The sequence below is a fragment of the Homo sapiens genome, chromosome 3 (assembly GCF_000001405.40).
Source record: "Homo sapiens chromosome 3, GRCh38.p14 Primary Assembly".
NCBI classification, from domain to species: Eukaryota; Metazoa; Chordata; class Mammalia; order Primates; family Hominidae; genus Homo; species Homo sapiens.
The window spans coordinates 37,114,302-37,129,662 of NC_000003.12; the positions used below are offsets into that span (position 1 = coordinate 37,114,302).

The 15,361-nt window shown below is 35.5% G+C and overlaps 1 protein-coding gene across 55 annotated transcripts in view; it reads right to left on the reverse strand.

Annotated features, from left to right (window-relative positions):
* Nucleotides 1-15,361, reverse strand: part of LRRFIP2 (LRR binding FLII interacting protein 2) — a 123,735-nt gene that overhangs the window by 61,676 nt on the left and 46,698 nt on the right. For 19 of the 55 annotated variants that reach the window (XM_047449202.1, XM_006713388.2, XM_006713385.2 and 16 more), the window contains 5 exons: nucleotides 14,762-14,848; nucleotides 13,329-13,379; nucleotides 7,334-7,390; nucleotides 7,191-7,235; nucleotides 753-794 (listed from right to left, as the gene is read on the reverse strand). In XM_047449202.1, the coding sequence (XP_047305158.1) occupies nucleotides 753-794; nucleotides 7,191-7,235; nucleotides 7,334-7,390; nucleotides 13,329-13,379; nucleotides 14,762-14,848 (282 nt within the window). The remainder of the gene's footprint in view (nucleotides 1-752; nucleotides 795-7,190; nucleotides 7,236-7,333; nucleotides 7,391-13,328; nucleotides 13,380-14,761; nucleotides 14,849-15,361) is intronic. The other 36 variants (XM_024453826.2, XM_017007473.2, XM_017007479.2 and 33 more) reach the window with 5 other exon arrangements.

Sequence of the window (15,361 nt, forward strand, 5' to 3'; positions counted from 1 at the left end):
CTGATGTCTTAGGTGTCCTCTAACACTACTGGATGTTTTCTATCTAGCAACTTCACACCTGCCAGCTTTGTGACATATGACATAAAACACAATTTGGGCTTGTGCTCAACATGAAGACAAGTTTCTAACAGTGTTAGAATGACAATGAGTATATGTTAGGTGGGTGGCTCATCATTTTAAGAAAAGATATATTACTACCAGCTGGGCATGATGGCTCACATATGTAATCCCATCACTTTGGGAGGCCAAGGTGGGAGGATCACTTGAGACCAAAAGTTCGAGACCAGCCTGGACAGCATAGCAAAACCCCATCTCTACAAAAAAAATAAAACAATTAGCTGGGCATGGTGGCACATGTTTATAGTACTCGCTACTCAGAAGGCTGAGGTGGGAGGATCCCTTGAATCCAGGAGTTCAAGGTTGCAGTCAGTAAGCTATGATTGCACCACTGCACTCCAGCCTGGTTGACAGAGAGGGACCCCATCTTTAAAATTAAAAAAAAAAAAAAGATATTACTACCAATCCTAGTCCTCAATAGATAAGAATAACTTGTGTCTAATTCTGAAATCCTAAAGAAAAAAATTACTATTCATGCCACAACCACAAAACATTAGCTTTTTGCTTTGTTAGTCACACATTTTCCCCAAAAGTTCATAACAAAGCCATGAAAGTTAGTCATATTCTATAATTAGCATCAACAGATGTTTATAAAGTAAAATTCCACATATAACACAAAGTCATGTGCTACATACTAATGATGAAAGTCTTGATGATCTATCCTTGAACATATCATACTGGGTTTCAGCAAAACATGAAAGTTGGTTTGTTTCCAAATTCAGAAATATAAAGAAGAGAAGAAGTAATATTTGAGGTTATTTTAAAAATCCAGCACTATTTTAAAATAAAAAATTATTAAACATGAAAGCTAATCCAGTTGAATTAAAAAATATTCTTCCTCCTACTTTTTCCTAGTATAAAGTATTGCTAAACTGTATGTATATTCAAAACTGTATGTTTATTTTTCTTTTAAACAACAAAATTCATAATCAGTAATAGTGATATGATTCAATCTCAGTACACTATAGCACAAAACATCCTAAGGGAGCCTTTAAATACAAGAATTAAGCATTCTAAAGTCAAAAATGCTTTTTAAGAAAATTATTATCACTTTTAACATCATTTCCTATTGTTTGAAAAATGGCAAAAGCAAAGGATGAACAGGCAATGAGGCAAGCTGACATAACAAGCATGGTCAAGCTTACAAAAGAACAATTGCAGCACCAAGATGGGGAACATTCCCTTGGATCTGCTTGTGAACAAACACCTAAGAATGTCCTTCCTCAAGAAAATGCCGATTTCTCATTTTGAGAAATCTGGTCAATGTGTGAACTGCACAGTATACATACAGGTGTGACACTGAATATAAATCAAAGAAAAATATACAAAACTCGTAAGACCAGAACACCCACATTTCATGTAGGATCCTTTTTAAAAGTAAGATATGTAATACCACATTTCAAATCCAGGGAAGAAAAACTAAATAGTAACTACATAGATTTATGGTTTTCACACATCGTTTCTTAAGCATTCTAGTTTATATTTTTAAGCTGTCTACCCAGAAAGTCATATACAAAACAAATAAAAGCAATGAACAAGTTCCTCAGGTAGTTTAAATACTAATTGTTTGATAAAAATATCTTTCTTTTCCAACTCTTATATTCATTTAAAATTTTAAGCAATACTATTCAAAAACCCAATCTAAAGTAACGTTTTCATAAGGATAGGTTGCAATTCATCAGTAGTTCATAAAATCAACTTAGTAGGGTCAACCAGCTTTTTTTGAGACAGGGTTTCACTCTTTTGCCCAGGTTGGAGTACAATAGCTTGATCATAGTTCACCGCAACATCGAACTCCTGGGTTCAAGTGATCCTCCCACTTCAGGCTCCCAAGTACCTGGAACTACAGAACTACAGGAACATGCCACCATACTTACCTAATTTTTTTTTTTTTAATTTTAGGAGATGGGGTCTTGCTATGTTGCCCAGGTTGGTCTTGAACTCCTGGGCTCAAGCAATTCTCCTACCTCAGCCTTCCAAAGGGCTGGGATTACAGGCAGAGGCCACCGTACCCTGCCCTCAACCAGCATTTTAAAAACTAAACTAGAAGAGAAAATATTAGAGGGTGTTGTGCAAAGTAAGTGCAAATATTATTTTGTGAAACTTTTGTTTCAATAATGTATTTTCTATACTTTTACATATATACAAATCCACATGCATGAATCTTCATGTGTATACTGACTTATGGTGTAAAATGTATTTCTTGTTGTAGAGATCACAATTTTTAAAAAGCTTAAAATATATTAGAAAATCAAAGTATATAATCTAGTTCTAATAAGACATTAAAATAATAGTTCAGTCAGAATAAAGCCCTTCCATTCATGCCTAATGAAATGGTCATTTACAAAAAACATTGCAGAAACCTCAAAAAATAAATTCCATAAGTATCAGACTAAGTGGTACCATTTTACCACTGGTATAAATTCATTGAAAATGTTATTGTAATAAATACCAATTTTATTGGAGCAAAATATCTGTACCGCATGCTTTTCTTATATTATCCTGAAACTAACAGAAAACACAATAAAAAATATTATTATTGCATGTGTAACAAAATCTTGTTACAAAATTTTCTAAAATGCGTAATAGTATGCATTTAAACTGTGTAGTAGTAAAATGTCACTTACCATGGAGAGACACTTCCCCAAAAATAAAGTTGCTTCTCTATAGAAATTTCTAAATTAAAAAAAATCTAACCCTTTTGTTTAAAAAAAAAAAAAAAACCTCCATGACCAAAACATATTACTCAAGTCACACATTCTAGCAGATAAGCTATTCCATCCTCCAAATAAGGTAAGTTCATGGAAAAGAGTAGCTGTCTTTCCTCTTATCATCCTCTCTATAGCACCAGTGGCATTTTACACAGGCATAGGATTTAACAAGCCAAACTGGAAATAACCTGTTTCAATTTTCCTTTTCCAAAATATAATGTAGAATTCAGCTGGTTTAAAAAAAAATGTTGAATCTATCTGGTAGGAAAATCCATAATTTGGGCATACCAATTTCTACTAGAACAATGGGCAAACAAAAAAAGTCACCCCAATAAGTAAAAGTTGGCCTTTATATTGTTGTAAAGAAAAGAAAGATTCATCAAAGGAGGTAAAAGTGAAAATAGTAAGGGCTCATTTCCAAATTTTTGATGCTATAACCATAGAGAAAAAAGAAAATTTTTTTTAACTTTAAAAGTTAAAAAAAAATCCAAAATTTGCTATTGTAATCTTTTAAAGAAATTTTAACTGTCAAACTTGCCTGAAAGTTTTCATTAGGAAACAAACTAGAAAGAAAGTACATACAGTGAACAAAGTTCAGCAAGTGTCAATCTCTATTAGAATGTACCTATTACTCAAATATCAAGGACACTGAAAGTCAAAAGTGAATGCATAACACTAATACCACACATTTTCCTGGGCTACACACCATAGTGTCTTTCCTTTTGGGTGTACTGGCTCTACTCCAAAGTGTCCCAGTTATATCCTTTGATGGGTTCTTCAATAGAATTAAACAGTGTAATAGTAAATAATAAAACACAAAATTGTAAGTATATTTTAAAAATTAAATTCATTAAAATTATACCAAGGCTACTGGTATATAAATAGTAACTAAATACATGCAACAGTAAAAATCTCCACCAATGAGAAAAGGCAATGTATCCCTACTGCTCTGATTCAATCAAGATCACTTTTTCTTCGTTTTTATGCTGTGGCACAATCAACGCTCACTGCAGCCTCGACTTCCCGGACAGCTCCCACCTCAGCCTCCCAACTGGCTGAGACCACAGGCATGCAGCACCACACCCAGCTAATTTATTTTATTTGTATTTATTTATTTTTAGTAGATACAAGGTCTCACTACTTTGCCCAGGCTGATCTCAAACTCCTGGGTGATTCTGCTGCATCAGCCTCCCAAAGTGCTGGGATGAAAGGCGTGAGCCACCGTGCCTGGCCAAGATCACTTCATTTTCTAATTTTGGATCTTTACCTTACTGTCTTCTTGTATTTCAATGTATAAAGCAATGACCAAGCAGCTACTAATGTTCTGCACTATTAATAATCCAATCATTATACAAAACTAATAGACACAGATTGTTTCAATTCTAAATTCCTAACTTTGATTTAATCTTCCCTCCCCCAATCCTACCATTCACAGTCTTGAACTACCTTTGCTGTTTTTATTTTTATACATAATGTCTATAGCACTGACACCAACATTTCCAGCCCATATAGCTTCTGGTAAGCCACCTTTCAAAAAGATAGTATATGAAAGTTAATTGGACAAAAGGAGAAACCTAAAGTCCTAAGAATGCAGCATAAGACCATAAATATATCCACCTCACATTCAGGTACTGCTAATGTTCAAACATCAAATACTACGTTCAAAAAGTATTAGACCTCTTAGTACACGGCCTTAAGTTTTTAAAAATAACTGGCTGAGAAATGCATAACTCCAAAATTATATAGCAAACCACAAGGAAATTTAGGTCAGTGTTTAGGCCATCTACAGAGGACAAAAGTTGTCTAACAATTCAGCTTAATGGAAAAATTATTTTAAAAGCAAATAATTTGATGAAAACTTAGAACTCACAATATTATTTGGGTAAAACAGAAAAAGTTTTATCTCAATTATATTTCTTTTAAATGAAATTAGTAGTGAGCCTTCAGACTTGTTTCCAGGAAAGTCTAAACATTTAAACTGTGTTAGATGTGCACTCACAGAGAGTAATGTACTAGAATCTCCTCTAGGATGTAAAACTTTTATTAATTTTTACATTTATACATTGACGTTTTTAAATACTGGGAGTTTTATTCTATCCCATAGTAACAAATTTTCAAAATCAACATAATGAAATTAAATACTGGAGTTATATCTTAAATTTGTTTAATGATACAAATGCCATAAAAATAAAATCATCCTGATTATATACATTCTGGTATATAGTTATTATCGGTTTAACTGCAGATTCCTTTTTTGTTTGCAGATTTGTTTTAAAGGCCCCCAAATGTTCAAATTTTGCTGGTTCTACCTTTAAGTTAAACAAATATATAATCAAATTTCCTAAGGCCACATACAAATTTATAAATAACCGGCTTAATAACAACTGTGTGAAAATACACACTGCGAACATTATAATGAAAAGCAAATGAAAAAGCCATAAATACAAGAAGAGGATTATTTTCACAGCCTTTGAGACTTAACTTTAAAGCTTTTATTGACTGACTCCCTGCATGATTCTTTACAAAATATTTATTTTAATTTTTATTTTGAGACAGAGTATCACTCTGTCACCCAGGCTGGAGTGCGGTGGCACGATCTCAGCTCACTGCAACCTCCGCCCACGGATCCAACTGATTCTCATGCCTCAGCCTCCCAAGTAGCTGGGATTACAGGCGTGAGCCACTACACCTGGCTAATTTTTGTATTTTTAGTAGAGACAGGGGTTTTTGCCATGTTGGCCAGGTTGGTCTGGAACTCTGAACCTCAGGTGATCTGCTCGCCTCAGTGTCCCAAAGTGCTGGGATTACAGATGTGAGCCACCGCTCCCGGCCTTTTCAAAATATTTAAAGAGAAAAAAACAAAGTACTATATCTCCAGGGAGAAGTATGATGAATTCACTATTAAAATTTTTCTACTGTAAAATCATTTATAAGCTGCCAATTATCTTAGATTTCTGTAAAGATCTGTTAATATTCTTTTTTTTTTTTTTTTTTTGAGATGGAGTTTTGCTCTTGTTGCCTAGGCTGGAGTGCAATGGCGAATCTTGGCTCACGGCAACCTCCGCCTTCCAGGTTCAAGCAATTCTCCTGTTTCAGCCTCCCAAGTAACTGGGATTACAGGCATGCGCCACCACACCCGGCTAATTTTGTATTTTCAGTAGAGACAGGTTTCACCATGTTAGCCAGGCTGGTCTTGAACTCCCGATCTCAGGTGATCCACCCGCCTTGGCCTCCCAACGTGCTGGGATTACAGGTGTGAGCCACCGTGCCTGGCCAATATTCTTAAAAATCTAAAGTTTTATAACTAAAATATTCCTGATTTAGTAACCAGCTTAGTAACTTACTCTAAAAAGACAGTACATTACATTCACCAAGAAAAATAACCAGCCTGGAGAACATTCACCAAGAAAAACAGCCAGCCTGGAGTTTATATTTGTGAATATAAACATGTCAATAACTAGTATGCCAGAGCACACTCAGTTTATTAGAGTCTATTTTTATCATTTATACAAGGTAGAAAGAAAATTACAGTCAGGGAAAACTAACAAATAGAGACTTTAACATGAAAGATCATTTTACTGATTAAGAAAACTACATGGAAGTATACATACAGCATTGTAACCAAAATGCAATTGTACCCTAAAAGCTATTAAAATAAAAAAAATTTTAAATAAAATAAAATGGAAAAAAAGAAAGTATACATACAGCATTATCAATGTGCAAAATAAAAGTGCTGCTTTAAGGTGTAAAGCATACTTTTTTAAGACAGAAATTAGGGTCTTGGCATAATACAAGGGTTTTTAAGGAGCAACTTCTCCTTCCTCCTGACTTATAACAATCCATGCAAAAAACAACCTGGGGCATTCTATAAAATGTTAATCAAAATGTCAAAGCATGATAATTCCTATACATATTCAGAGAACTTTTCAAATCAGTTGTTCAAATTTTCCACATAATAAAATTACAATTAATCATCCAAGCCCCAAAGCTATTTTGCATTTAATTGTCATTTTTTAAGATATGAAAGTAGGGAAAGTCTGAAAGTTAGAACCAAACAAATGTTATTCTACAAGATCAATCTTAATTATTTTGTGATACTTTTCCAAAATCAAAGGTCCTTCTATAGAAAAAGAGATTGGACCCATGTTAATAGATTAAAGTATTCATGATTTTAGAGTTGATTTACTTATGACAATAATTTGAAAGAAAGCATCATTTTCCAATGAAAGGTCTTTGCCAATATTTTATACTTCTTTTAAAAACGCAAAGAAATACAGGAACATTGTCAGATTGTTTAGGCAACATTATTGAAGAAAGCTCACACGTAAGCTTTGTATTGTGTAGACAAGTTAAAATACCAACCCTGTGACTGCCAACACTTCGAATGGACAATGCATCCTCAACTCCCTGATAAAAATGAAAATAAACACAGTAAAAGTTTGTGAGTGATTACATTAAGCTAATGAGGAAAAGTATTAGAGGCAAGTGTATAGGTTATTACAAACCAGATAAGGACGATGGTGACTGGACCGGTGGGAATACCTGGCCCTTTCCGAATCTTCCTGGGAAAGGAGAAAGTACATGGAGAGTTAATCACTGAATAGACAGTTGTTTATCAGAACAACTGAGCAAAGAGCAGTCAGTTAACAGCACAGCAACAACTCCTGAGAGCAGGCAGGTTTGGATAACTTATCTTAGGGGCAGCCACATTCGTGTGTGTGTGTGTGTGTGTGTGTGTGTGTGTGTGTGTGTGTGTGTAAGTTTCAATATAGCAGTACTAGTTTTCTTTCTTTTTTTTTTTAATTATACTTTAAGTTCTATGGTACATGTGCACAACGTGCAGGTTTGTAACATATGTATACATGTGCCATGTTGGTGTGCTGCACCCATTAACTCATTATTTACATTAGGTATATCTCCTAATGCTATCCCTCCCCCCTCCCCCCACCCCACAACAAGCCCTATGTGTGATGTTCCCCTTCCTGTGTCCAAGTGTTCTCATTGTTCAATTCCCACCTATGAGTGAGAACACGCGGCGTTTGGTTTTTTGTCCTTGCGACAGTTTGCTGAGAATGATGGTTTCCAGCTTCATCCATGTCCCTACAAAGGACATGAACTCATCCTTTTTTATGCCTGCATAGTATTCCATGGTGTGTATGTGTGGGGCGGTCACATTCTTTGGTTGGAAAGAAAGTAGAAATAATCTTGGCAATGTTCCTATTTTATCAGGCGTATGTATGTCAGACCACTTGGAATGGTCTGTATAAGACCAAGAGAGTTCAATATACCAAGATAAAAATGTGCAAGTATACTTAACAAAGAGAACTTGAGTTCAGCATTAAAAAAAGACATTAATCTATTTTTTCATTGTGATCATCAGTTTATGCAGGTAGGAAGAAGTGTTAACATTATCACTGATGTATTTTAAGACAGTATATGATTCTAAAAATACTTGGATTATAATTTTGCACTTACTGTAAAGATTTTTTTTCACCACTCTAAGAACTAACTGAAACAGAGCCTGATTGTGTTGTTAATATGAAAAACTACTTACATCTAGAAGTAATTACATATATATTTTAGAGTTGGTCAAGTTATCTCGAATAATGCCATAAGCAGATTTTTAAAAAAAAATGATTGCAGCCTAACAGTTGACTAAATTAAATGTAATTCTAAACTTTTCCACATTTAGCTATTAGCAATGGAGCATTAAGGCCTGAGTCATGTGAGATAAAATGGCTAGTCCCTAAAACCTAATCATCTCAAACAGTAAGGAATTTCTGATCTTTCAGAATTTCAAGTCCAAAGTGTTAAAGTAATGTGTGCTGACTGAAAATCTATACATTACTGACCAACTGGGTTCATAGCTTATCAATGCTGTATTTTTGCAAAATGAATCAATGCCTCAAAACTCCCTGGTTGACATCTGCTGTGACTGATGCCCTTGACCAAATGTATGCTGAAGTCTGTTTATAAGCACTACTATGATTCAATTTCTAATCAGGTATTCTGATCTTTAGGAATTCGTCACTGATTTACATTTGTTGTTGTTGTTGTTGTTGTTGTTGTTGTTTTTTGAGACGGAGTCTCGCTCTGTCGCCTAGGCTGGAATGCAGTGGCGCGACCTCAGTTCATGGCAACCTCAGCCTCCTGGATTCGAGCAATTCTCGTGCTTTGGCCCCCTACTAAGTAGCTGGGACCACAGGCACCCACCACCACACCCGGCTACTTTTTGTTTTAGCAGAGATGGGGTTTCGCCATGTTGGCCAGGCTGGTCTCGAATTCCTGACCTCAAGGGATCTGCCCGCCTCGGCCTTCCAAAGTGCTGGTATTACAGGCATGAGCCACCATGCCTGGCCACTGATTTACATTTTTTATTATGCAATAGACACATGTAGTCTGCAAGAAGCCAAGAAAATTTCTTCCCTTTCTTTATCAACCACGAAAGTTTTGGGGGCATGTGTGTTAGCCTAGAAGGGCAGGTACAGCTTAGTAAGTGGTAATCAGTTCTAGGCTACTTAGTTTGGTTAGTTCAAAAAGCCTTTACTATAAGGTGAGTTAACTCAACATGCCTCTTCCAATATTATTTGAGGTACTAGGGTAAATACGGTTTAATGTCTAATCTTCCCTTTATTCTAGCCTTTTTTCCATTCCATCTATCACACAGAGCATTTTCAAAAATCTCACCTAAAGAGCATATCCCATTAAAGATGCAGCAAAGACAGATGAAGTCATACTTTCAATTATGCCCCTTATATTAATAAAAACAATTATAAATTAAAATACCTTATTAAGTATTGATACATAGTACCTCTATATTTAAACAGCTTTTCTTGCTCCATTTGAAAAATTGGCCTAAAAAGACTTCTGAAAACTACAGAATAAAATATAAACCCCCATACAGGTCAGTTAATTTGGACAAAGAGTATAGTTTATTCCACAGTCACAAACTATACCTTAAATAAGCACTGTCCAATACAACTTTCTCTGACCATGGAAATATTCTATATTTGTGCTAATGTAGTACCCACTAGCCACACGTGGCTACTGAGCACTTGAAATGCAACTGAGAAACCAAATTTTAAATTTTATTTAATTTTAGTCAATTTAAATTTAAATTTAATTACCTACATGGGGCTACCATACTTGACAGCACTTCTCTAAACCTATTTGACAAATGTGTTTACGTAAAACTGTAAGGCAAGCTCAAGGCAAATTTTAATTATACCAAAAACGTTCAAAACACATATTCTACTAAGAGCCTGCTAAGTAGGACCACTCTCATATAGAAAGGCAAAACATTTGGGTCATTTTTAATTACTTCTACCTTGAATACTTTTGCACAGTGGCAAACATGAGGGAAACAGACCCTGGTAGCAACGATATAAAGTGACCCTGGTAGCAATTCTATTTTTAAGAGCTAGAAGAGTCCTTAGAGATCATCTAGTCTGACCCCTTCATTTTGCAGTAAGAAAGTTGCAGCACAGAAGGATTAAGTAAGAATCTATGAGATCATAAAGCTGAGACCAGCATTTAGACGTTTTTATTCACCAGACAACTGAACTGTAAAGATAACATCCTATACTGGCTAAATTTCCACCAATTACATAAGAAAAAAAGAAAGAAAGAAAATGGCAAGGTATTCTGGTTTTTACTCAGAGATTCTTCCTTCTCTGGAAGAACAAAAAGCTTCATTTGCCAGGTATTTCTAGAGCACTATTTATATTGCCAATAGGTTTCTCTTGAAGAAATTATACCAGTGGACAAAGATAACAGATTACAGCAAACTGTGTTCTTAGGTGCCAGTTACAAGGTGTATCCCTCTATTCCACAGTGAGGAAAATAATACATCGTCATTATCCCAAAAGTCCTTATTAGCACTAAAGCACTAAAGACTGGACAAACAGTACAACGCCTTAAAAAAAAAAAGACATGTATTTGTTCAAAATGCTGTTTTGATACATTTAATGAAAATGAAATATACTCTTTGTTTTTAAACGTTCACCTGAAGGGAGGATGAATGGTTCTATTAAAAGAAAACCACAGTCCCATGAATATACCTGGCCATCTTTTCTGTCAACAAATAGTATTTGTTACTAAGTTGACACCAAAGTCATTCCTTCAGTTTCAAATTAGAAGGAACTTCAAAAACCGTATTTACTCTTCAAGACATGCATTTACTCTTTCAGAATCACCACTGATTAAGAAAGACACCCAGTTTAAAAATAGAATCATTGGGTTCATGGAAAGTTGACTAAACTAACACTAATGGGAGGCCCAGGAAGGTGTGGGTCCTTTTCTTCCTGGTCCTTTCACCTTCCAGCACATTACCAGGTGTGGCACTCTCTCATACCTTCAAATACTGGTTCTGCCAATGACTATGCAAGTTATTTACTTCACCAATTCTTTATAAACATGTCTATAAAATTGAGACAGTAATACTGTCTTATAATGTGAAATAAAAACCTATGTAAAAAGCCCTAGCACAGTGCTGATATACAGTATGCACTCAAAGTTGGACTCATTTCTGAGCTTCCTTCCTTTTCATTCCCTATTCATGTCCCAACATCACACTCCCACCCAAAAAAAGGTATTATAATTAGGGGAAATTACAAATATAGGAAAATTTCCTTCCTTCTAGTAACTGACAATCCTATTGTGGATTGTGTGTGTATGCATCATTTATTTTACTATAAACATTAGCCATTTATATTTTGTATTGTAACTATTACATGCCAACTTCTCCTTATGGGCTCACAGATAAAGCAGCCAGAGAGACAAAGATAAATGAGCAGAAGAATCAGTTTAATTTTTTTCTTTTTTTCTTTTTCTTTTTATTTATTTTGTTTACCTTCAACCAACTCACACCAAAGAATCAGTTTTTTTGTTGTTGTTGTTGTTGTTTGTTTGTTTGTTTGAGACACAGTCTCACTCTGTTGCCCAGGCTAGAGTGCAGTGGCACAATCTTGGCTTACTGCAACCTCCACCTCCCAGGTTCAAGCGATTCTCCTGCCTCAGCCTCCCTGAGTAGCTGGGATTACAGGCGCCCGCCAGCGTGCCTGGCTAATTTTTGTATTTTTGGTAGAGACGGGGTTTCACCATGTTGGCCAGGCTGGTCTCAAACTCCTGACCTCAGGTAATCCACCTGCCTCGGCCTCCCAAAGTGCTGGGATTACAGGCATGGGCCACTATGCCCAGACCCAAAGAATCAGTTTTAACAGGGTAAAAGCAAGTGTCAGAACGGGTTAGAAGTGATAATTATTCCCATCTGAAAAGAAATGCCACTTTCTCTGCAGGTCCAAGTCCTGCCCATAAATCAAGACTTGGATTAGTCACTACCTGAATTTTAAAACTCTAGCCCAAAGGTCACCCCTTTCAATGAAAATCTAGCGTACTCACTGCCTAAACTATACAAATTTCACAGAGGTTTAAAAAAAAAAAAGATTTGGCTGGGCGCGGTGGCTCACACCTGTAATCCCAGCACTTTGAGAGGCCGAGGCGGGCGGATCACCTGAGGTCAGTAGTTCGAGACCAGCCTGGCCAACACGATGAAACCCTGTCTCCACTAAAAATACAAAAATCAGCTGGGCATGGTGGCGGGCGCCTGTAATCCCAGCTACTTGAGATGCTGAGGCAGGAGAATCGCTTGAACCCAGGAGACGGAGGTTGCAGTGAGCTGAGATTGTGCCACTGAACTCCAGCCTGGGCAACAAGCGCGAAACTCCATCTCAAAAAAAAAAAAGAAAGAAAGAAAGAAAGAAAGTTGCTTGTTTAGCAGCAATCAGACAGTGGTTCTTAACCCTTTAGGAATTACAGACTACTTTGAGAATCTGACAATAAAAATACCTGTGGGCATTTCCCATAAAAATAATTACATTTGAAAGTCTGCAGTAGAATTTAAGGCTTCATATCCCTCTCCCAAGCCTAGTCATATACCAAGTTAAGAAGCCCTGTAATAGGAGACAGTGGGGAACTTACCAAGCCTAAAAAAAAGTTCAAATTTAGGAATGATTCACATTATCTAACATTTTACTGATTCACAATTTGTTTTTATAGCTAACAAATTTGAGAGTAGTGGTAGAGAATTTAAAAAGGACCTGAAGGAGTTGATATAATAAGAGTAATTTTCAGAGGAAATGAAAAGAATTACTTGGGTCATCTTTCAATGAAGACCATGTGGACTTATTTTTTTAAAAAAAAAGGGGAGAGAGAAGGGGGGAAGAAAAGAACAAACCCATAAAAAGAAAACACACATTCATTTTCTCACTCTTTCTTGATCAGGAGCATTCATGAGATGAAGGTGAGGATACTGACTACAACATAAAATGGCAGGACTCCAAGTATACCTCTGGTCCACTATAGACAGAATAGACACTCTGACCTTTAGGTTCACACAGGCCAAACACTCCTACTTTGCAAACTATTAGTTAATGTTTTACTTCAAGACTGCATTATTTCAGCAATTGATCACAACATGCAGGACAGGCAATACTGGCCTACCAGCCACTTCTGAATCTGTCCCCACTTCCGATCAAAGGAATGAAGAGAGTACTAGAAATGCAAAAATTTCATAAACCAAATAGTTTCTAACATATTGCATTCTCCAAAAACCTTAAATTAATCATACACATTTTCCCTAAAAAACAATGATAGCTGACTCAAAGTTACACATTCAAAATACAGAAAATTAGTAAGCTAAATATGTTCAATAGTAAGAGATGCATGTTTCCCTGTAGTTCAGAGAACTGTAAATAGAACTTACATTTAATAACTGTCTCATTCACTTATTTATTTATTTATTTATTTTTTTGAGACAGGATCTCACTTAGTTGCCCAGGCTGGAATGCAGTGGTGCCATCATAGCTCACTACAACTTCAAACTCCCAGGCTCAAGTGATCCTCCACTTCAGCTTATCCACTTATTATTATATTTAGTATAATTTTAGGAGTAAAAAGACAACGGATTGCAACACTTCCTCTTCAAGAACTGCATTCCATATTTGAAACTATACATGAGGTTAAAAGAAAATTAGCAACATGTCAATTGTTAGTGTTTTTCTTGAGCTGTGACAATATAAAATATTTACATTGCTTTTTAACCTGCTCACAGAAAATTCACCACCAAAATCAAAAGAAAGTGTTTAATACTGTCCCATAGGCTTTTGCCCCTTCATACTACTACAACATCAAAAATATTTATTATGGGAATTTTCAGGACCAAGTCAATGTCAGAAAAGTAAAAGCATATTTATTTCATTTTAATCAGCCCAATTTCCATATGCCTATTCTTAAAAATTTTTTTCTTGTTTTCCTTTCTGATAAAAGTATACTGAAAGTTTGTAAATTATAGAAAAGTATAGAAAGAAAGAAAAACCAACAATAATTCCACCATAGACAAACTGCAGTATTAATAATCACTTCCTTCTAGTAGTTTTTTGATGCTATATATGGATACTGGTTTTTGTAATATAAAATTGGGGTCCTACAAATTTTATTGTTTTGGTTTGCTTTTATCTCATATTCTTACATATTTTCCTCTATTATTAAATATGTTTTAAAATTGTAAGTCTGAATGACTTTACAGTGTTTTACTATATAGATATCATAATATAATTAATCCAAATTTTAGGACAATTAAAGCTATACTACACTTTGTCATTGCTAAAGCTACCTTAGCTAATGTAAGTGAAGCACTCATAATACTAGTAACTTATAACAATGGACACGATAATAGCTATAAATGTGTTTGTTGTTACTACTTAAAACAAATATCACATTTAATTTGCTGGCACAGAATGGCTTGATAAAATACATACATCAGTTTATACTATTTTCAATGTTTCAAAGGAAACCAGATTCACATCAGAATAAACTAGCCAAGTACTGATTTTGGGGGAGACAAATATGAAATTAGGGTTATTCCCTCAAATTACCTCTTTTTGTTGTCGTTCCAGTTCTCTCATGCGTATATCTCTTGCTTCTGCCCGGGCAGCCCGTTTTGCTGCCAGCCTTGCCTCTGCCTGAAAAGTAATATAAAACTCAGCTTTATACAACAAAAACAAAAACAACCTGTACACCAGATTTGAAAATAAAGAATGGGACATTACCACGCAAAAGGGGTGGGCAGGAGAAGATATTATCTATCAGCAAGCAAGTTTGATTGATTGTTTTAATCAACTCTTATAAACTCATTTCTTTCTCTAGTTCCTAAGTCTTTCCTCAAATCCGGGCCTTTACCTTTAACTTCTTGTTTGATTACACACTCAACACATTTCATACAGTTTGTTATATGCCTCTCCAAACTTACTCTTTTTCCAGAATTTTTTCCCCATTGATTCAATCATATAAACTAGAAACTTCAGAGCCAACCTCTCTTTCATTTTGGACACTGCCAATAATCAGTCTCCAAGTACTGACAATTCTCTACCACTGAGTCTCTATCAAACCCATCTCAGCTTTCTTTATTCTCACTGTTCCTGCTCATTTCAGGAACTCTTCATCTCCCCACTCCCCACCTCTGTTTTAAAATTGAG